The following is a 21,698-nucleotide window of genomic DNA, read 5'->3' on the forward strand; positions in this document are numbered from 1 at the left end:
CAGAGGTTGAAGTTGGGGATTTAGGGGCAAGAGCAGGGAGCCCATGCTCCCCTGGGGCCATCAGAAGAGGGGGCTCTGAGTGTGGATGGGAGGGGGCCTATACTAGGGAAATGGGCAGTTATGTTCCGTATGGACTAGTAATCACATTAGCTAACAGTTATGCCATATGCACCTACAGTACAGCCTTCACTGCTCCAAGCACTTTACACATATGAATGCCAATCTTTATAACCCTGTGGAGTTAGCACTATTATCCTCATTTTACAGATAAGTAAGCTGAGGCTCAGAGAGGTTAAAATACTTGCCCAAGGTCACAAAGGTCAGGTATACACTGGGGCTTCTGGGATTTGAGCCAGCAGTCTGGCTCCAGAGCCTGTACCCTTGACCTGACCATGGCTGCCCCTTGAGAAACTTCCCTGCCACTGGGGGAGTGCTGAGTGCAGAGAAGACATTTCATACAGGAAGTGACATTTCAGTTACATCTTCTGGCAATGAAGCTCCCCCTAAAATAAGGGGTCCTCATGGGGGAGGATCACCCAACCACAGCCCTTTCCAGTGCCCACTGTCAGCACAGCAGCTGTGTCCTTGCTGGTAGAACACCCCATCTCTCACCACCTGCTTCCCATGCTGGGCCTGGGCTTGTCCCTCCTGGGATACCTCCAGCTACATTTGCCTCCACCTCTCATTAGGAACCTGGGGTGACTCCCAAGAGAAGGCCCTGGTCTCCTTAAATATCCCAATTCTAACCTGCAGACACCATGGACATACTTATTACTCAAAGGATGGTTGAATAAAGTCTTGATCTGCAAGAAGGACATAGACCACTGAGCCCCAAGCTGACATTCCCCCAGTGTTCCCTACTTACAGCCCCAGGAAATGGGTCTGGGCAAGGAAGGAGAGGCTGGGGACTCTTGTGTGTAGAGGGGCTTCATATGCGCTGACATGCCCCCTCCACCTCTTTGTGCAGTCAAAGCCTGCCTCCCACTCCATTCCCGACCCCCAGCTCTCCCTGCTCTGTTCCTAGTGTCTGCCTGGCTGGCCCATTCTGCCTTCCCTGGTCAGCCCATTCTGCCTTTCCTGGTCTTGCCCGCTGAGTCTCCTTCCTTTGACCCCAGGCTCCTGCAGTGGGCATCAGAACAGCCTCCTTTGAAGGGGCAGTTCCTCAGTGGCCTCACTGTTTCCTTCTGAGTGTTCTCAGACCCACTGCTGTGTCACTATAGGGCACCAGGGCCCAGTGAGGACTGAGATGGGGACATATCCTTTTTCCTATCAGCTCCTGGGAAACAGAACAGTCAGAGGCTTCTAAGGGGCTGGACAGAGGGGCCACTCAGCACACAGCTGAGGATATCTTCTGTTCATAGAGAGAAGTGGGTGGTGCAGGATACATTTCATGACATACACTCCTCAAAAATATTGAGCCCAGAACAAATGGCTCAGGCCGACCTCAGCGATTCTAGCAATTGCCATTCATGCAACCTGCATGGGAAATTTTCTGTGCTGATTCAAGACCAAGAGACACATATACTTCTCCCCTAAAACTCAGGATCCATGACTACCCATTTCAAAACAAAGAAATCCAAGAAGATCTACCTGGTATACATTACAGTGCATTTTTTTAAGACATATATTATAAAAGCAGACAGAGCTCCATTCCGCCAACAAAACACAATACAACTAGTGCAACATACCCTCATTATGTTAGGGCAGGACATGAGGGGGCAGCAAGAACTACCAGGAATCCATTTGTACCACAGGGAAGTGGCTATCAGAACATTAAAGGAAGTGATGTTGGCACATTTTATTGGCAAGAGGATTCACCACGAGGAAGAAAAGGCCAGAAGGCGACTCCCGGTAAGGAGCAAGGCCCACAAATCCTCGGGTGAGTCTGAGGGAGGAGGTGGTGGCTGTGGGGTCAGCAGGTGGACACCTCCATCACGTGGCTCCCTCTGCTGGGCTTGTGGCCCCATGTGCAATAGAGAAACTAATGGAAGGTTGAGTCACCCAATCAGAAACAAGCTGGCCAGACGTAATGGCTCACACCTGTAATCCCAGCACTTTGGGAGGCCGAGGCAGGTGGATCACCTGAGGTTAGGAGTTCGAGACCAGCCTGGCCAACATGGCAAAACCCCATCTTTACTAAAAATACAAAATTAGCTGGGCTTGGTGGTGCATGCCTGTAATCCCAGCTACTCTGGAGGCTGACGCAGGAGAATGGCTTAGAACCCGGGAGGCGGAGTTTGCAGTGAGCCGAGATCGTGCCACTGCACTCCAGCCTGGGCAACAGAGGGAGACTCTGTCTCAAAAAAAAAAAGAAAGAAAGAAAAGGAAAAAAAAGAAACATGAAGCTGAAGCTGAGATGCGCTTGCCACTCCAGGGGCATCCTGAGCCTTTGGAAAGAACCCATCGACAGGGTTCTCAGAAACATCAGAGCCACATTTTCTCAGGGGGGCCTCCCTGTCTCTCCAGAACCCAGCTCCCAGCACCCCTAAGGACAGAGCCTGCCCAGCTCTGCCCGTGTCACTTCACTGACCCCCACCCCTGCCAGGCTTCGCCCACACCTGCAGGGCCAGCACCCAACATGCTGAGAGAATGGGGACCCAGAACCAGATGAATACATCAGGGGAAACCGAATCCATTCTCTCTTGGGGTCCTGAGCCTCCCAGTGACAGAAGATCCAGGAGATGCGAGTGGGAGGTCGCCCTAACAGGATCTAACATCATGCTCCAGATTGCTGAAGGAACACAGATCGGTGCCTCCTCTCCTTGACTCTACCCTCCTCACTCCTTAGCACCAGGCCTGGCTGTACATCCCTGCCAAGGTGCAACTAAGACCTTCACCTGCAGCTCAGGGGTGCCCCAGACAGGAGCACAAGAGGAGGCTCATCCCCACCCACAACCCAGGCCGGAGCGAATCTGGCTGCCCAGGCTCTGTGTCTGGCTTCTGCCCCAGGACCTGAGCCCGTGTAAACTCAGGCTTCCTTGGCCTGCCCTCCCCAGGCCCAGGTTCTAAAGGTGTGCTCCCCACCACTTCCTTGTTGCTCCTCCACTTTGTCCCTAGAATTACAGCCCAGCTCTAGGTGGGACTGTGAAGCTCTGCCCAATGCTTTCCACAAGAAGTCAGATTCAGGCCCTTGTGCCTGAAGACTCCTTGTGAAGACTAGATGACACCTTCTCCAAGAGCAGCTAAGGAATCACCTTGGTTCCTCAGGCTGAGTATACATTTTCTGTACGGAACTTCAGAAAGAAATGGTCAACATTCATTCCTCACTTCACCAGAGAAAGAAGAAAATGTCACGTGCCTTTGATTCCCTCTTTTTACCAAGACTCCACTGAGATAAAACTCCTAACACAGAAACCAACACATATTCTCAACACTGGGTACCTGCTGGAGGTCCTGCCTTAGCCCCGAAGCCTCAGGTTCCCATGGGGACAGGTTGGTTGAGAACTGGTGGCCTAGCTCTCAGCCTGACACCCAACAGTATCCCCACCCAGGAGGCAGATGGTAGTGCAGGCACAGGTTCTGCAGGCTTTCATCTCGTGGAACGTATGTTAGAGGGTGTCCTCGTCACTCGCCATGCCCCAGAGGAATCAGCAGGGACATCAGGACTGAGAGAAGACATGGCACATGTGACCTCCTGTCCTGGAAACCCCACATCTTTCTGACTGTGCTGATCACACGGACAATATCTAGAAAAGTTCTGCTCTGCACAGTGTTCTGTCTACCAGGCCCACCCATCTGAGGACCCAGATGCTAGGAACACACAGATACTGAAGGAGCAACCACCTGCCTAAGGTGCAGGTACCCCTGCATCCATCTGTAGGAGGAAAAGCAAGAAACTACCATTTATATGGATTCTTTGGCCCTAAGAATGAACCACCTATTTAGGAGTAACACAGTGATGCAGAATGACCAGGGAGGGTCTTTCTCAACCATGCTCCCTGGTCATTCTGCATCACTACAATACACATAGAATCCCCAGAATACACACCTATTAAAGCCTCAATATTCTTGCTTCATACAAACATTTGCTTACAGATCCTGAACACACACACCGCCCCCCACCCCAGTGGTGTGTTGCTAACTGCTTAATAAAATGCTCTCCAGGGGGAAATAGGAAAGCCTAGAATTGTGATGCTTAAGTGGTGTAAGTATCTCAGCATGACTAATTTTAAACTACCAACCTAACGCCACTGAACACAGAGATGAGAAGAGATGTGCTGTGCCCAATGGCTACCCCAAGCCAGTACAAGCCAGCTCCAGCACAGCCACATCCTTTCATAGGAATATGTGTACACAATCTACCTGCACCCTGAGTAGGACCCACAACTCTCACCCCAAATATAAAAACAAAACCAAACGATGTACCTCCAGAACACAACCTCCTCATATATCCTGAACAGACACACACAACTGAGATAGGATAGGGTGGCCATAGCCTCCATTAAAGGAGAACAACCTTGCTAAACAGATGAAGAGAACAAACCATCCGACAGTGCACAAGGAGGTCCTGCAGTAAGGAGGTGGAAAAGAAGAAGGGGAAATCCCCAAATTCGCACAAGTGCGAAAACCCATGATTAGTGTCCCTGGGTTGACCAGTGCTCACTATAACAGTGAAAAACACACCCTTGGGTAGAGATTTAAGATGTTAATGATTCACCTGATATAGGCACTAGCATGTGCAGCAATAGCGCATGCACGTCCAGAGAACAGTCCAGAGAGTGCTTAACAGTGACACCCCTTCCCACCCCTTCATGAATAGTCATGTAAGGCTCCCATAAAGGAGGTTTCCCCAGTGTCAGTCAATGCTGTCTCACCTTTGAGCAGCCCACTCTGATCGGCTGTCAGAGTGTACATTCACTTTGCAGTAACCTCTCTTGCTTACTTTTACGTTGGACTCACTCTCAAAGTAAGACTTCTTTTGTGCAGCAAAGTCAAGAACCTGAACCAGCCCACCAGCAACACAACTGCTACCTGTACCCTAAATACACAGATGGCCTGCACCAATTATTACTTAAATTTGCAGACAAAACTCTACCTGCCCCAAATGCTCACCTCACTGCTAAAACCATATATGTACATATATACGTGCCCAAATACAAACACGTACAATGAACACAGTACCCATATATACCCATATATAGTGTGAACCCTGAAAGGGCTGATCATGAGTGGCTAACTGGGCCTAAACTCAAAATGGAGCCAAGCAGCCATTTGCTGACTGCAAGTCTCACACATTTACCCTGTTTCCTGCAAAAACCACGTACTTGTGTTACTTTGGGACTTTCACAGCTGTCTGTTCCTGTTTATGTCACCTGAATCAAGGGTTACCATTTCATCATATGGACTTAAGAAATAGACTGTGACTTGCATCAGCCAATCAGAAATAAACAAGCTTGTATCCCTCATTTGCAGAGTGAACCAGATCGGGAATCTGAGAACGAATTTCTCTGTAAAAGATAATACCTCTCTTTGTTCTTTCAGAGTGTATCTTTGTTTTGCACTGAAGGCTGGGACTCCTTGATTTGCAAACAGCTCAGTGGAATCAAATTTCTATTTTTTTCTTTTGTTATTTTTTTAAGAAAATCCTTTTCAGTAGATTTGTTAACAGTACATAATGAAAATCCTATAGGCATAGGCTCAAAAAAAAAAAAATCACAAGGTATACAACACTTGTGTCATGCATCACCCAGAAAAAGAATCACATACAATCCCACAGCTCTAAAATACAGGAATCCATGATTCTTGAATCCAAACACAACCTACACAGCCTCTCTGTTTCCAAATACATGCACTGAACCTCCCACATCTCCCAGAATACAAAACACAGAAGCCACATAAACTCAAATACACACAGAACCACAAACTATTTTTATCAAATACATATAAGTCCACCTCACGAACTCTGAGAACACACATACAAGTGGCAACACCAAATTCTGCGAGTATTACATTTCACAACAGACACAGAGGACCACTAAGTCTTAATATACCCCAAACCCCTCATATACACACTCACAAACTACCCATGAATACACACCTCACCCTCCCAGATAAAACCCATACAATACAAAAAAAAAAAAACCACAAAAACACCAATAATACTCTAATATACGCACACAACTTTCATATACCCATGGGCACATACAAACTCACACAAATATCCCCAATCCCTGAGTGTATAAATCCCCCGAAACACTATCCAATCAATATGCTACATCTCCGGAATACAACCTCCTCACCTCATCCCCTAAACATGCCCAAACACATGTACGAACATCCTAGCATTCTCCAAAGAAATACACTTTAAATACTAACAATCCCGTATTCTATAAACAGACTTAGATAATTCATCTATCTGCTGATAAATATACACACAAACCAGTATACACACCCAAGATGCACAGAAATATCTCCAGCATATCATTTATAAATACCCATAAAAACAGTTCCCAATCCCAAATTATCCCAATCTAGTATGAACCAGCTCCCACATTGCCAAGTACTAACCAATAACCATATCACATACCTCTAATACATATAAATTCAACTCTCCCACTCTCCTGTATAAAAAGAGAACCTCATCTCTCTATCAGACACACACATACTAAATTCCCAGAATATATAACCCTAATAACCACTTACTGAAAAACACAAGCACATAGCTCCACAAAACCTTCATCTAAACTGCCACGCCCTTGAACACACCCACAGACTCAATACTCATGTATTTGTCTACATGCCCTAAATATACCCGCGATTAACTAACACGCCACAAATATGCAAACATGCCACCTTATATCCCCAAATACACATACAGTTCCACAATACCTGCACATATGTAATCACACTTCCAAATGCTCACACAGAAATAACTCCTCCATCTTCCAAGACACAGAATCATATAAACTCCACCTCATAACTGCACACGTTCATCCTACCAGTCCCCCAGTAGACATGGATCTGCCCTCACACATTGAAATAGCCATACACACCCCCTGAAAATAATGAAAAGAAGCACGCATCACCATGCAACATGCCCTGAGTATACAAATGGTCTTCCTACATTTCCCAAATACGTAAACCAAACAGAGCGTACATCCACAAAATAGACACAAGCACTTTCTCTGTTATTGCCCATGTGCACAAGATAATTCTTCCAAATCTGCCAAACATTAGACAAATACAAATCGCCAACATTCATCTGAGAAAACACATGGAAAATACATCTTCACAACCCAAATCACAAATATATAACCCCAATTCTTCTGGTATACATATCTTACATCTCATATTCTCCAAATATAAACTCTCACTCCTACACACTCTCACAAAAACAGTTATGACCTTCTTTTTTAGGGGGCGGGGAATGGAGTCTCGCTCTGTTGCCCAGGCTGGAGTGCAGTGGCACGATCTGGGCTCATTGCAAACTCCGCCTCTTGGGTTCAAGTGATTCTTCTGCCTCAGCCTCCCGAGTAGCTGGGACTACAGGCATGCACCACCACACCCAGCTAATTTTTGTATTTTTAGTAGAGACGGGGTTTCACCATGTTGGTCAGGCTGGTCTCAAACTCCTGACCTCAGGTGATCCATCTGCCTCGGCCTCTCAAAGTGCTGGGATTATAGGTGTGAGCCACCGTGCCCGGCCCAGTTATGACATTCTTTAATCTGCAGTCTCCACACAGACACCACCAACCCACACATGTGAATACATATTAGATTCTCACCAATTAAATACATATCAAATTCCAAACTAAGAATTCATATAAACATATTTTCACATACACAAAACCACCCGCACAAATCTCACACCCTCCAAAATCCAAAATAAATCTTCCTGACATTCTCAAGTACACACTAACCCAACCACCCAAGATAACACACGTGTGTGCAGTAAATTTTAGATACATGTGTAGCCTACAATTTACAAATAATATACCACTACTTTTTATATGTAAATCCCACATAAGTAAGCGATTGTCATGGAAGCTTTTCTTGACTTTGGCCACACTCTTGCATCCACAACCAACTTGTGCTACCAAGCGAACAAACTATGACTAAAGGACTGTTCTTCCACTTTGCAGCTGCTCCTATCAGTGACAAATCAGCGTATTAGAACATGCATGCTGGCTGATCATTCTGATCAAGTCAACAAGCTTCACAACTTACTCAATGAGGTCGTCCGTGAGAACTTCACTGTTTTACGGGGACAGGAGCTACTTCTTTGCTGAACTGCATCACGGTTTCAACTGCTGAGGTTTTCTTCAAGCTTTTGCATTGTTTGGAATGTGAAAGGCACGGCCGAGACACACTTTGAGGTTCCCACTGCATTGTTACACCTCCCCCCTCACTTCAGGGCCAGGTGAGCAAGGGAAAGGAGCGCGGCCTGGGCGTCCCGCAGGGCCCCCACTAGGAAAGCTATGAACGCTCCCGCCTTGAGCACAGCCACAGGCCTGCTCTGGTCACAATGTGGGGTCGCCCCGTGGACACTGGTGACCAGTGGGAGCATGACCAGGAGGTGAGATTACCTTCTGATCACCCTTGGCTTTATTTTTAGGTAACACCAAGAAGGACGCCATGAGAGCGAAGGCCGGTGGGTCACCGCCCTTTGCTCTCGTGCTGCGCGTCTCCCTGCCATCAACCGCCGCAACCGGCGCTGGGAGCGGTTGAGGGCGGCCGGCCTCGCGCTGGAACCTCGCCCGCCTCAAGGCTCCTGCGGCGGCACACGGGGCAGGCCAGGAGCCCGCCCTAGGAGGGCCCCGCTGGAGATGTGGAAATGGAGGGACGCGGCACCTGGGTGCTTCCTGGGGCCAGACAACGCCCCCTCATTGGAACCTCCATGACCGTGCCTCTGAGAAACCAGCGCGTCCGCAACGATCACTCCTAATTTTCGGTAATACAAACCTGCAGTCCATGCACTTAGGTAACACCCTTGCTGAAAGGTTTACCTTTGGAGGGTTTATCCTAAAGCAAAGTATCCTCAAATTGCATGTCTTGCATTCCCTTTGGATGGCATTGATTTCATTCCTGCTCATGCCTTTCAAAAAATAGTATGCCCTGTTTTCCTACTCAGTCTGGAGGTTCCATTAAAGAGTATTTCTGGCAAAGATTTTTAGATCTGAAAACACACTCCAAAATATACTTTCTTCTGACTCCATTCCCAGAGTTTTTCCTACCGCATTCAAATGATTTCTAGAAATGTTTTTGTTGTAGCCTTGATCAATTTCAGTCGATAAAGCAGCAGATAGTAAGGGAACAATTCCACACTCCCCATCCCTGACTCTGCAACACAGTGCAGAATTCCAGTTGGCAATAAAAAACTAGTAGAGAAGCAACTCACTGACTTCAGTTTGTAATACCTTCAGAAGAAACTTTAATCGTCACATCCTTTCTGCTCATTTGCAGGATTCCTATCATCTGTCTCCACGTGATAACACTGAAGAGCCTTCACGTTGATGCAGTCCCAGGGCCTCAAGTGCAGAGTCTGAGAGCTCTGCAGGACACAGCATGGAGCCGCCATTCCTCTACTGGGTGGAGGAGCATGTGTCCTCTGAACAGGGGATCCAAGCCCTGAGATGTTCTTTCTCAGCTGTCAGTGCGGCCCAGGACTTTCTGTGGGGATGCTCAGACAGCAGGGGCCGGAGGACTTTTAGCCACCACCTCCCATGGCCAGTCTTCACAAATTACCTTTGGCTAATTTGACTGTCTCTCCTCCTGGGGTCTAGGACTTCAAACATGTACAGAAGCGATTGCAGAATTAAGACAAGACACTTCCACAATATATTTTTTGTATCACTGGCTCAGAAAAAGACTCATTCAAATCCTGTATCAAAGCCACGTGTGAGAATCTTGAGAAAGCATCAGCTGACTGACTTGACAAGGGAGGAAGCAACCAAAAATTCTGCGCTTCTTCAGTATCTGAGTATGATATTTTGCTTCAACATCCCTCTTAGATGAAGTTATTGATTGAAAATCATTTAAGTTTGCCCCATGGTAAAAGATCAAGTCCTCAGAAAGATCTCCAAAGTGTTTACGGTTTGTTTTGTTTTGGTAAGTTTACCATGATTTTGCTTGAATTGCTCTCCGTTGATCTTCTCAGCTAAGATGGAGGTAGAGTTGCACAGTGGAAGAGGGCTGCATGTAAGAAGGCAGTTCTGTCTCAGAGGACAAAAGGCCTGGGAGCACCCAGACAGTCACTGCATGGAGGTCACTCCCCTCCCAGTGGCCACTGTGGAGACATTTCACAGAAATGCTTGCTGGACCATTCAGGTTCAGAGTTGGGACAAAACCGAGAACTCATGGGGATATTGGACAGGAGTTAGGAAATGACCTTCTCACACAACTGGGGCAGTGGGGGAGAACCCTGGGCTTGAGACTTGCAATCCACCACTTGCCCCTGCCCCTGCCCCTGCAGTGTGGCCGCTGTTACATTTTCCTGCAACTCTGCCTTCTTGAGTCCAAATGTCTTCAAAAGGGGCAAATGCTTCGTAAGTGCCGACAGGGTGTGTTTCAGTGAATGTTTGCAGTGTGCACCGGTCTGGCTGAAGGCCTCTTCCCTTCCCCAACACCCTCCCATCGTGCAAAATTACCCTGCCCAGCAGGGAGTGACTTGTGTGTCTCAGAAGATTTTGTTGCTGTGCTCTGAGTTCTCACTCCTCATCTCCTTTGACCAGTTTCTTCTAATACTCCCCTTGTTCACAACACAGAACATGAGTGCTCTTTCCTATCATTTTGACACTAATAAACGGACAGTGATTCTCAGTGTGGAAATGAGAATGAAGCTTTTTTTAAAGACAGGCTACAATAATTCCCATGCAGAGAACCACATGCGATGACACTGGATTCCAAACAGCAAGAACGTATGGTGAAGATGAGGCCAACAGTGAGCTGAGAGAGGCCAGCCAGGGTGTGTTTCAGTGAAGATGAGAAACAATCAGATAACACCTGTTTCCTCCAGGAAAGAAAATGTGGCCAGGGAAAAGAGATGGGAGGAAGGCTGGTCATTGCCTATTCCACTGTGCACAGTTTGAATTTGGAGCCATGAAAAGTATTGCTTGGTTAAATTAAAATCATTCAAAAGATAAAACATAAACATTTAACACCAGCACAATATGCTGGGAAACAAAATGAAAGGATTTCTGGTCTCGGTGCTGTAGGTCACATAGCCACTCTTTCCTGGATTGAGGCTTTCCAGCAAAGGGGCTGGGACGTAAGGCTGGCCTGCTGGTGTGGACAGAGATTCCAGCAACATGCATGACCTGGGGGTACAAGGATTGCTTCCTAAACAATGATAAGCACACAGCCACCTAATAGTCTGGATCGGCTGAGACCATCCTGATTTCAAACACCCAGTCCCCTTGCCTTCCTAAGAACCCCTGTGTTTCTCAGACTGAAAATGTGTTTTGAACTTTGTTCACGAAGTGAGGCCGCTGTTGAAATTCGTCAAGACTGGGAAAGAGCCAAAGTGGGAAGGAGCATGGGTTGATTGGCACAAAAGTAGGTCTGCTGATAAAGAATGGAAGTAAAGGGGCCATCAGGTAGAAGCTTTTGCTGTGAGTCAGAAGGACAATTTAAAAGTTGCCTAAAGAGGCACACGCCATCTCTGCTGCTGCCTTCCAGTTGGAAGGGAAACTCAGGTTCTTGCCTAATGGCCGAAGCCCTTCACAGAACGTCCCCCACCCCTAACAGCTGCCCACTGCCCCTCCCCCTCTGCAGAATGTCTGGGGTCCTATGTTCCAGGAACCTGTTTACTTTCAAATTTTCCCTGTTTCAGTTGGACTCAGGAGCATCTGGTGAGCCAGGTCACTCTCTGGGTCTTACCCTTGGCTTTTCTTATTGCGGAAACTGCCAGACGGCGGTGGTCAGTGCCCAGCCTGAGGGGATGGCTTCGAATGGAGGTAAGCCTGTAGGGATGAGGGCATTATCTGAGTCTGCCATGCCTCAACTCCTTAGGAATTCAAATTTGACACTGCCCCGGGGACAGTTGATAGGGCTGATGTTGAGGAGGGAGGGAAGACTGGATGTCCCCAAGGACATCACACCTGGGGATGGCCATGGCACCCTGAGTCTGTGTTTAGGGAGGACGGCCTCTTAGAGGTGGAACAAGATGGCTGGGGGAATACACCGTGTAGGAGAAAGGACAGAGTGGATGGATTGATCCTTTCTAGAAGGAGACAGGTCACGTCATTGTGTGTTTGTAGGGAGTGGTGGGATCATGTTGTGCTGGTGGCCCCGGGAGGATGATAGGCAAGCCTGAACCCTGTGCCATATCTTCAGGCACCTGGAAGGTGCCCTTCCATAGTGTTCAGAGAGATTTGGACTGGAGTTTTCTAGATCTTAGGGAGGAGTGGGGAGAAGTGGTCTCAGCCAGAAAACTGTTGGGTGGGTTGGCTGTGACAGAGCATGTAGTGACAGCCCCTGGGTGGGCGAGGCTGGGGGCTGCTGTAACTGCCACAGCCCAGAGCCCCTCAGCTCTCTCCCTAGAGATGGCTTCTCTGTCAGTTCAGGTAGCTGTTGGCTTTGATTTAACAGGGGTGGGGGCAGATGAGGAAGTTCAGGCAACACAGGGCCTGGGTTTCCTGAGTTGTTCTGAATTGTTTGCCCTTTTGTGGAAGCTCAGGTCTTCAGACCCACTTCCTCTTGTCTGCTAGCTCATGGCCTGTCCTCTGCACTTTGTGTTACTGTGGAGATGAAGAATTTGCTCCTATTCCATTTATACTACCTCATGAACGGGGGGCAGGTGTGGATTCTTGCTGGTTCTCAGTGGAAGGGTCTGGAAAGGCTGGTTTCCTTTTCAGTAGAGGAAGGAGAGTAGCGCACGAATAGGAAGATGGTTCTCTTATTATTATTATTCAAGTTAGGATATGTGTCCTGAATGATGAGGTGCATGTGCTGTATCCCTTATTCCCCTTGACTAGAGACTGCATGAGGTCCTATTGAACAGGGATGAGTTCCAGACAACTTTGCCTCACCCGGCCCATGGCCCAAGAACCCCTGGTTTTTGGTTGGTCACTATGTTCAGTTATTAGGAGCTCAAAGGAGAAGGGCCAGGGATGGGCTCCTTGTCCCACTACCTATTGTATCATGACCAGCAGCTGTGAAAATCCCTAGACACCTCCCCTGTTAGCTCTGCTGCTCGCCATTTGCTGGCTGTGTTCTAATCGTGTGTGGCTTTTGCTGGCTATGCAGTGACACTGTCTCAGGGGACTCCACCACTGCCTCTCAGACCTGCTCCCTGGGAACAGAGCTTCCTGAGTGGCAGCCGGGACCATCGAGTACTGCGGAAAGGGTGGCCCGAATCTGACCCCTATTTAGCACTTGCTGTGGGTGGTGCCAGGACAATCACTTGCATGCTGGGCATGACGAGTTATGGATTATCTTCAGGGTTCCTAGGGCGCTGGCTTGGGAAAGATTTCCATCCAGTGGTTTTGTTTTGGTATGTCTGAGCTGGGAAAGAAAGGGGTTTACAAGAGCGTCAGGAAAAGGAAGATTGAAGAGGAGATGGGGCCATAATATTCGGAAGCTTCTGGCTTCCTGTCGGCCTTCTGAGTGCGGAGCACTGCCCTGGGGTAGGCCCCTCACCTGTTGCTGAGCACGCTGAGGACCACCAGGCCGCTGAGAGACTCATCCCTGACCCATGGCTTGGGAGATGCCTGTGAGGCTGACAGGGTCTGCCAGGGACACCCGAGGGAGACGCTCGGGCAGCAAAGGCTTGGCTGTTACTTCTTGGGAGACAGGGGTCAGGGAGTCTTGGTGACCGGGGCCAGGCTCTCTAGTGGAGCGACTCTCCGTGGAGGAACAGAGCATCCGATGCACACTCAGGGACATTTGCAAGCTGCAGTTTCCCTGTCATACGCCCTTAGCTGTTGGGACTCCCCTCTGATTCCCCAGTGACTAGTGTGGACCTGGAGACCCCAGCTCATTCACCTCTTTCCTTTGTCTCCACAGCATACCCAGTGCTGGGACCGGGCGTGACCGCGAACCCTGGCACCTCCCTGTCTGTGTTCACGGCTCTGCCCTTCACCACACCCGCTCCCGGCCCAGCACACGGGCCGCTCCTTGTGACTGCAGGGGCTCCTCCAGGCGGCCCTCTGGTGCTGTCTACCTTCCCCAGCACACCTCTGGTGACAGAACAGGATGGCTGCGGCCCGAGTGGGGCCGGGGCTTCCAACGTCTTTGTCCAGATGAGGACAGAGGTGGGGCCTGTGAAGGCCGCTCAGGCGCAGACCTTGGTCCTAACTCAGGCCCCCCTCGTCTGGCAGGCTCCAGGCGCCCTCTGCGGAGGTGTTGTGTGTCCACCTCCCCTACTCCTGGCAGCTGCTCCTGTGGTGCCTGTTATGGCTGCCCAGGTGGTTGGGGGCACCCAGGCCTGTGAGGGAGGCTGGTCCCAGGGCCTTCCTCTTCCACCACCACCACCACCGGCTGCCCAGCTGCCCCCCATTGTGTCCCAAGGGAATGCTGGGCCATGGCCACAAGGGGCTCATGGAGAGAGCAGCCTGGCTTCCTCCCAGGCCAAGGCCCCGCCAGATGACTCCTGTAACCCCAGGAGTGTCTATGAGAACTTCCGACTCTGGCAGCACTACAAGCCCCTGGCCCGGAGGCACCTTCCCCAGAGTCCTGACACCGAAGCGCTTTCGTGCTTCCTCATGTGAGTGTCCTCGGGGCATTGGAGCTGGTCCTGCAGCTCACACGTAAAGAGGCTGCTGGATGGACGGGAGGTCACGCTGTTCAGGGGAGCTTGCAGGGCGGTTGTGAGGGTGATGGGCTGCACTATGGGAAGGTACATTTTCAACCATATTAATCTGGCTGCGGCTCAGGACAGACTGTCAGGGGCCTCATCTCAACTGCCCGTCACTGTCCCGTGAGTCCGGCCAATCCTTACTTTCAATAATTTTCACAACAATGTTTACAGAAGACCCAGGTCAGAGAGGGTTCCTGGTGTGACGTGAGCTACGGTTTGGGTTTAGGTCTTTGAGTACACACCCCAGTGCCTCCCCTTTAACCCAGTATTGATGGCCAGGAGCACCTCACATGGGGCCGGGGGGAGGAGCTGCAGGGCCCAGCAGGAACCTGGCACATGCCTGCAGTTCCGCTGAGGTCCAGTTAGCACAGCGGTGGTGGAGCCTGCATAGGGGGATGGTCTCGGGCCCTGCACTGGGGCCGATGCCGGGCAGGTATTTGCATCTTCACCCTCAATCCCTCCTAGAAAAAGGGACAATGATGCTTCATTCAGAGGATGGTGAAGAGATAACTTGAGCTCACATATGACATGCATAGCACAGTGCCTGGCACATGCTATGACACATTACATGACAGCAGTTACGATTACTGTCCCCATTACTATCATTATCAAGACTAGGCCATCTAGGAGAGCACTCCCCAAAGCCACGGGCTCCAGTGATAGCTCTGAGTGCACCATGAGTCCAGCAGCCCAGGGCCATGGACTGTGGTGACTGTGAGGCAGCAACGTCAGCATCTGGGAGAGTTTGTGGTTTCATTCCCAGTCCCTGCCTCTCTCCACCCTGCGGTGCCTCTGTGACCCTGTGTTTCCCGCTGATGAGCAAACGGGAGCTTGAGCACATCCACCGTGCAACACACTGGCCGTTCCCCTAGGGAAGTCCCCTGCCTGGGGTGTAGGTGAAAGGTGGCCCCATTTTCATCCCCCAAAATCTCGCTGTTCCCGCACCCTGGAACTGGTTGCATTCCTCCTTGGAGCGGAGTCCCGGTGCACTGGGGACCCTGATTCTTGGGGTGGAGCTGCCCCAGGCTCACAGGCCTTTGCCATGGCTCCTGTGGGAATGTGGGATCTGGACCTGCTGCTTGCAGTGGCGTGGACACCGCTCTGCTTTGGTTCTGGACGTGTGCTCCTGCTCCTCATGCTCCAGGGCCCTGAGGCTACGTCCCCAGGGGCTGCCTTGCTCCAGAGTCCCCAGGAAGCCGGTTAAATGCTCAGTCTTGGGGCCCTGGAACCTGCACTTTAACCCTCACCCCCAGGTCATTCTGTGTGCACGCTGTCTCAGTCAGCTCAGGCTCTGCCGTAACGAATGCCGTAGACTGGGTGCTTTATCAAGACACATTCATGTCTCCCAGTTCCAGAGGCCAGAAGTCCCAGATCAAGGTGACAGCAGATTGGGTGTCTGGTCAGGGCCCTCCTCCTGGCTGGAGAGAGCTGTCTCTGGCTATGTCTCCTCGTGGCTGAGAGCAAGAGCCCTGGCGTCTCCTTCTGCCCTTATCAGGGCTTGGATTCCATGACTGGGACCCACGCTCATGACCTGCTTTAACCCTGATTGCCTCCAAATACTGACACACTGGTGCTGAGGGCTTCAGCACAGGAATGTTGGAGACACACATGTTCCACCCATAGTACTGAGTCCACTTCTCAACACTGAGGACTCGAGGGGCAGTCGGAGAGGCCACTTGGTAGCTTGTGTTGATGTTTGATCTTGGGGTTGTGTTCTGGGGCCTGAGGAGCCCACATGGGGGAGAACAGGACAGGGACAGATGGCGGGACAGGTGTGGGGAGGACAGGGGCCAGGTGTTGGGACCAGGTGGGCTTGGGATGAAGGGTGGGCTTATAGACTGAGACTGACTGCACTGGTTTACAGCCCAGTTCTCCGATCGCTGGCCCGGCGGAAGCCCACCATGACCCTGGAGGAGGGACTGTGGCGGGCCATGCGGGAATGGCAGCACACGAGCAACTTTGACCGGATGATCTTCTACGAGATGGCGGAAAAGTGAGTCTGGGGTCCTGGGAGCAGGGCCCGCGTGGCAGGGTGAGAGTGAATGACAGAGGCCCGGTGGCCGTGGTGGCTTCTCAACGTGGAGTATGAGGAGGGTGTGGAGAAACCCAGGATACTCTGGGCCCCTGGCTCCCTCAGGAAGCTGCTCCTGCCACCTAGAGTGTTCTGGGGTCTCTGTCCTGGCCTATTGGGAAGCACCCCCTGCCTGGCCTGGGGCCATCCCTGCCTTGACACTGGAGGTCATGGCAGGAGCAGCCAGCATCACAGCCCAAAGTGGGTCACCTCTAGCTGTGGGGATGGGGAGAAGGGGCGCTAGTGACTATGGACAAGAGTAGGGTGCAGGCTCCTCACAGCAGTGGCCAGAAGTCGGTTTTCTCCCATCCCAGCCTGGCCAGGGAGTTGGGTTGGGGAGATCTGCACCTGGGACACCATGGGACCCATCTCTGGCCTGACTGCCTTTGCTCCTGGGCAGTCCCCTCCATGAAGGCAGACAGATAGACAGCAGCCTCAGGGGAAAGGGGCCCTGTCCTCTGAGCTCAGCTTTTGCTTCCTCCTGACCAGGAGTCTCCCAGGCCTCGTGCCCCTGGGTTATCTTTCAGGGGCCCACAGTCCTAGCCTCAGGACTCCTGCATCTGGGCATCATCCCTGATGCCTTCTGCCATAAATCCCACCCCTGGCCAGCTGAAACCTGGAGGAGGGGTCCCCCGAGACCCTCCTGGACCTCGTGGCCCTGAGTTGAGTCAGGAAGCCCCGTTGATGCCATGGGCTCTGCAGGGGCCGGGTGAGGGAGGGTGAGCCCGGAACTCTGGGAGCAGTTTTCTCCTGGGACTGGGGGATGGGACACAGTGAGGGCCTGGACAGCCCACCCGAGGCACTCCCTCCTATCCCTGCCCTCGGCCGCTGCCTGGTCCTGCGGGGAGGGGGCCTGGACCCTCTCAGCACAGCCTGGGCCTCCTTCACCGCCAGGTTCCTGGAGTTTGAGGCTGAGGAGGAGATGCAGATTCAGAAATCGCAATGGATGAAGGGGCCCCAGTGCCTGCCTCCTCCAGCCACACCGAGGCTTGAACCTCGAGGACCCCCGGCCCCTGAGGTGGTCAAGCAGCCAGGTATGGCTTCCCACATTCCCACAGGAGCCATGGCAAAGGCCAAAAGGGCCAAGGGAGGCCACTGTCCCCACACCCCATGCTTCCCTTCGAGAGGGGGATTTGCTCCCTCCAACAGGACAGTTTCCAGGAGCATATGTTCGGTATTGACCTGGTCAAGTTTCCTAGCTACTCTCTCCCCTCGCCTGTCCAAAACTCCACATATGCTCTGCCCAGGAAGCAGGGATGAGCGGGGAGAGTACACGGCATATTGGTGGCTCCAAACTTCCTCCCAAGCGATGCTGTCTCAGATGTGCCCCTCCTGCCTCCTCCGGGGGCGCTGCGGTTCAGGTGGTCCTGACCCAGCTGGGACCCACTTCACATCCCCAAGCCCTGCCCTCCCCTGTGTGGTGCGAGCAGGAGGAGCGGCCCTCACCACGCCCGTCCTCCTCCCTCTCTGCCTCAGTGTACCTTCCCAGCAAGGCCGGCCCCAAGGCCCCGACTGCCTGCCTGCCACCACCCAGGCCCCAGAGGCCAGTGACCAAGGCCCGCCGGCCACCACCCCGGCCCCACCGGCGAGCAGAGACCAAGGCCCGCCTGCCACCACCCAGGCCCCAGAGACCAGCAGAGACCAAGGTCCCTGAGGAGATCCCCCCAGAAGTGGTGCAGGAGTATGTGGACATCATGGAGGAGCTGCTGGGGCCTTCCCTCGGGGCCACGGGGGAGCCCGAGAAACAACGGGAAGAGGGCAAAGTGAAGCAGCCACAGGAAGAGGACTGGACGCCCCCAGACCCGGGCCTCCTGAGCTACATTGACAAGCTGTGTTCCCAGAAAGACTTCGTCACCAAGGTGGGCTGGCCTGGAGTGCTGGGGTCTGCTGGATTCCAGGGGCTGGCACTCCCAGGTCCTTGGAATTAAGCTCTGTTCCTTAGCTACTCAGCAGTGTGTGTATTTCCATGGATTTGAGTGTCTGTGTATGTGATTGTGTGTGTCTGTGTGTTGCTGTGTGTTTGTGTCTGTGGTTTGTTACTGTGTGTCTTTGTGTGTCTGTGTAGGTGTGAGTGTGGAGTGTGTACGTTACCTGTGTCTGTGTCTTTTCCTGTGTCATATGTGGGTCTGTTTGTGTGTCTGTGTGTGGTTTGTGTGTCTCTGTCTGTGTGTGTGTAGCTACCAGGTCTGTGGTCTGTGTCTGTAGCTGGTGGTCACCATGATATGAGACAGCCCCAGGAGGGTGGGGACGGGGCGCTCGCTGCTTTCTGCATCTCCTCCAGGTGTCCTTGGCTCCAGGTTACTCCCTGCCCAGGAAGCTCACGCCTTCTTCCTTCTGTTTCCAGGTGGAGGCCGTCATTCATCCCCAATTCCTGGAAGAATTGCTTTCCCCAGATCCACAGATGGATTTCTTGGCCCTAAGCCAGGACCTGGAGCAGGAGGAAGGACTCACCCTTGCCCAGGTACCCCAGGGGCAGGAGGGACCTGGCACACAAGGCCCACCTGATTGTCTAATCCCCCCCGCTGGGGATGCTCGGCTTCTTGGGGAGCCACTCTGGAGTGGGAAGATGCAGGTTCAGAGGGAGTAGGATGGACAGGAGCCAGGGAGGGGAGTCAGCATGCAAGCTGTGGTGAGGCCCAACGGGAGGCCCGGCAGAGCCACACCCTCTCTCTTTGACATAAAGCCCAGCTGCCTCAGGCTTCCCTACCTGCCGCCTAAGTGCCCTGGTCTCCACCACCCTGGGCCCTGCTCACACCTGGGGCAGTGCCAGTAAGTGCCCCCTTTCCTCCCGCAGCTAGTGGAGAAGCGCCTCCCACCCTTGAAGGAGAAACAGCATGCGAGGGCAGCCCCTAGTCGTGGCACAGCCCGGTTGGACTCAAGTTCTTCTAAGTTTGCAGCTGGCCAAGGAGCAGAGAGAGACGTCCCTGACCCCCAACAAGGGGTTGGCATGGAAACCTGCCCACCCCAGATGACTGCCCGGGACTCTCAGGGACGAGGCAGAGCACACACTGGCATGGCCAGGTCCGAAGACTCTGTTGTGCTTTTGGGATGTCAGGATTCCCCTGGGCTGAGGGCTGCCTGGCCAACCTCTCCTCCCCAGGACCACAGACCCACCTGCCCTGGCGTGGGTACCAAGGATGCCTTGGATCTCCCTGGAGGGTCTCCTGTCAGGGAGTCACATGGGCTGGCTCAGGGGTCAAGTGAGGAGGAGGAACTCCCCAGCCTGGCCTTCCTCTTGGGTTCCCAGCACAAGCTTCTGCCCTGGTGGCTACCCCAGAGCCCTGTCCCTGCCTCGGGCCTTCTCAGCCCAGAAAAGTGGGGACCCCAGGGAACTCATCAGTCCCCATCTGCTGAGAGAAGAGGCCTCAACCTAGCACCTTCTCCTGCCAACAAGGCCAAGAAGCGACCTCTCTTTGGAAGCCTGTCCCCTGCTGAAAAGACACCCTACCCAGGGCCTGGGCTCAGGGTCTCTGGGGAGCAATCCCTGACTTGGGGGCTGGGTGGCCCCTCACAGTCTCAAAAGAGAAAGGGTGACCCCTTGGTCTCCAGGAAGGAGAAGAAGCAGCATTGTAGCCAGTAGGGGCTTCTGAGCAGGCTCTCTGGGGCCAATCCCCAAGGATGGGGCTCTGGCATCCGATGCCCCAAAGCGGTCAAAAGCTTCTTCTCCCCCAGTGCTGATCTTGCTGGGCCTTAGCTTTGGAGGGTAGGGGAGGGAGGGGAGGGAGAGGGTGGCTGAATGGGGAGGGCAGGAAGGGAGGGTCTGGGGGGAAGGGGCTGGGGAGTGGGGGTGGGAAGCAGTGCGTTGGGGGCCTCGTGTGTAAGTGTGAATAAATGTAGTTGTCTTGGAAAATGCTCTTGGGGCTGCTGCCTCTGTCCTCGGTGCTGTGCTGCTCCGTGGAGGGTGTCTGTGAGGGAGGGCAGAGGAACTGGCAGATGCCAGGCTCTGGGAACCCACAGGGGCCGGCCCCACTCTTTCCTCCTGATGTAGGGAGCCCCTTCAGATGCTCCAGGGACTGACAGATGCTGAGGAAGCCCTGATCCCTCCCACTACCGACTCACAAGGCCCTGCCTGCTTTAGGGAGGCTTCTTGGGGCCCCCCATCGTCATCAGCATCCCTGGAAAATCCTGGGATTGGAGAGAGCTGGCTGGCTCTTGTTCTGCTCGGTGGGAGCTGAGGAGAAGGCAGCCACCTGCAACATGGACATGGGGAGAGGAGGCTGCTCCTGCTTAACCCTCATCAGGAAGAGCGCGGGCACTGGGCTGAGGGGAGACGTTGAGGTGACCATCCACACAGGTGTGTTTGGGATACGATGATGGGTGGGGAGCAGGGGAAGTCCTTCTGCCTGTTTCTGGGCAGGAGAGAGTCTTGTCCAACTAGCTAAAGCAGATGCTCCTTGCTGTGGCCACAGGGACTGGCCTCGGGGCCCTCAAGGTCCTGCATGGAGCCCCCCACAGCTATGATTCCCTTCCCATATGATGACTGAACTCATGTGGAATTGATGTAGACACAGATTTACATTGGTTTCTAAAACAGTTCCCTCCCAACACACCATCACCAATGGGAACAAACATGTCCAGTCCATCAGGCGCAGGGTGGGTGTTTCTGCTGGTTCCAGGGCCCGGAGGAGCTGGGGCCCAGGCCAAGAGGGGCCGAGGGTCAGCCGCCCTTCTGCCAGGCACAGACCCCAAGGGCAGAGCAGGGGCTGCCTGGGATGTGGCATTGGCTGTCTGGGAAGTGACCTGGGAGTTGGGGGCTAGGTGTTCGCCAAAGGGAGACTTCCAGAGTCTACGAGTGAGATGAGGACTGCATCAGGAGAGGGACCGAGGCTGGGGAGGATGCTCTGCTCTTTCCCAGGTTGTCCTGTCCTCCCAATCTCTGCTGAACTGCCC

At 52.6% G+C, this 21,698-nt stretch overlaps 1 protein-coding gene and 1 long non-coding RNA gene across 3 annotated transcripts in view, besides 1 other annotated feature; one reads left to right on the forward strand and one right to left on the reverse strand.

Moving 5' to 3' along the window:
• NUTM2B-AS1 (NUTM2B antisense RNA 1) overlaps window positions 1–21,698 on the reverse strand; it is a 135,095-nt gene that overhangs the window by 598 nt on the left and 112,799 nt on the right. The gene's annotated exons all lie outside the window — the stretch shown is intronic.
• Window positions 18–20,661, forward strand: NUTM2B (NUT family member 2B). 2 transcript variants are annotated; one of them, XM_047425707.1, is made up of 9 exons: window positions 18–8,359; window positions 8,555–8,890; window positions 9,403–11,894; window positions 13,945–14,644; window positions 16,602–16,730; window positions 17,703–17,842; window positions 18,285–18,667; window positions 19,153–19,269; window positions 19,603–20,661. In XM_047425707.1, the coding sequence occupies exons 3-9, from the start codon at window positions 11,513–11,515 to the stop codon at window positions 20,386–20,388; spliced, it is 2,637 nt and encodes an 878-aa protein (XP_047281663.1). In that variant the 5' UTR covers window positions 18–8,359; window positions 8,555–8,890; window positions 9,403–11,512; the 3' UTR covers window positions 20,389–20,661. The 2 variants fall into 2 exon arrangements, with proteins under 2 accessions (XP_047281663.1, NP_001265424.1); NM_001278495.2 differs by lacking the exons at window positions 18–8,359; window positions 8,555–8,890 and having other exon boundaries at window positions 11,130–11,894.
• Window positions 19,534–20,034: an enhancer, noted in NCBI's record as "H3K4me1 hESC enhancer chr10:81471387-81471887 (GRCh37/hg19 assembly coordinates)". NCBI's record gives its function as "activates a minimal SCP1, AML or CMV promoter by ChIP-STARR-seq in naive H9 embryonic stem cells {active_cell/tissue: H9 hESC(naive)}" and the evidence as "EXISTENCE:reporter gene assay evidence [ECO:0000049][PMID:30033119]".

This window comes from Homo sapiens, chromosome 10 (genome assembly GCF_000001405.40).
Source record: "Homo sapiens chromosome 10, GRCh38.p14 Primary Assembly".
Lineage (NCBI taxonomy): Eukaryota > Metazoa > Chordata > Mammalia > Primates > Hominidae > Homo > Homo sapiens.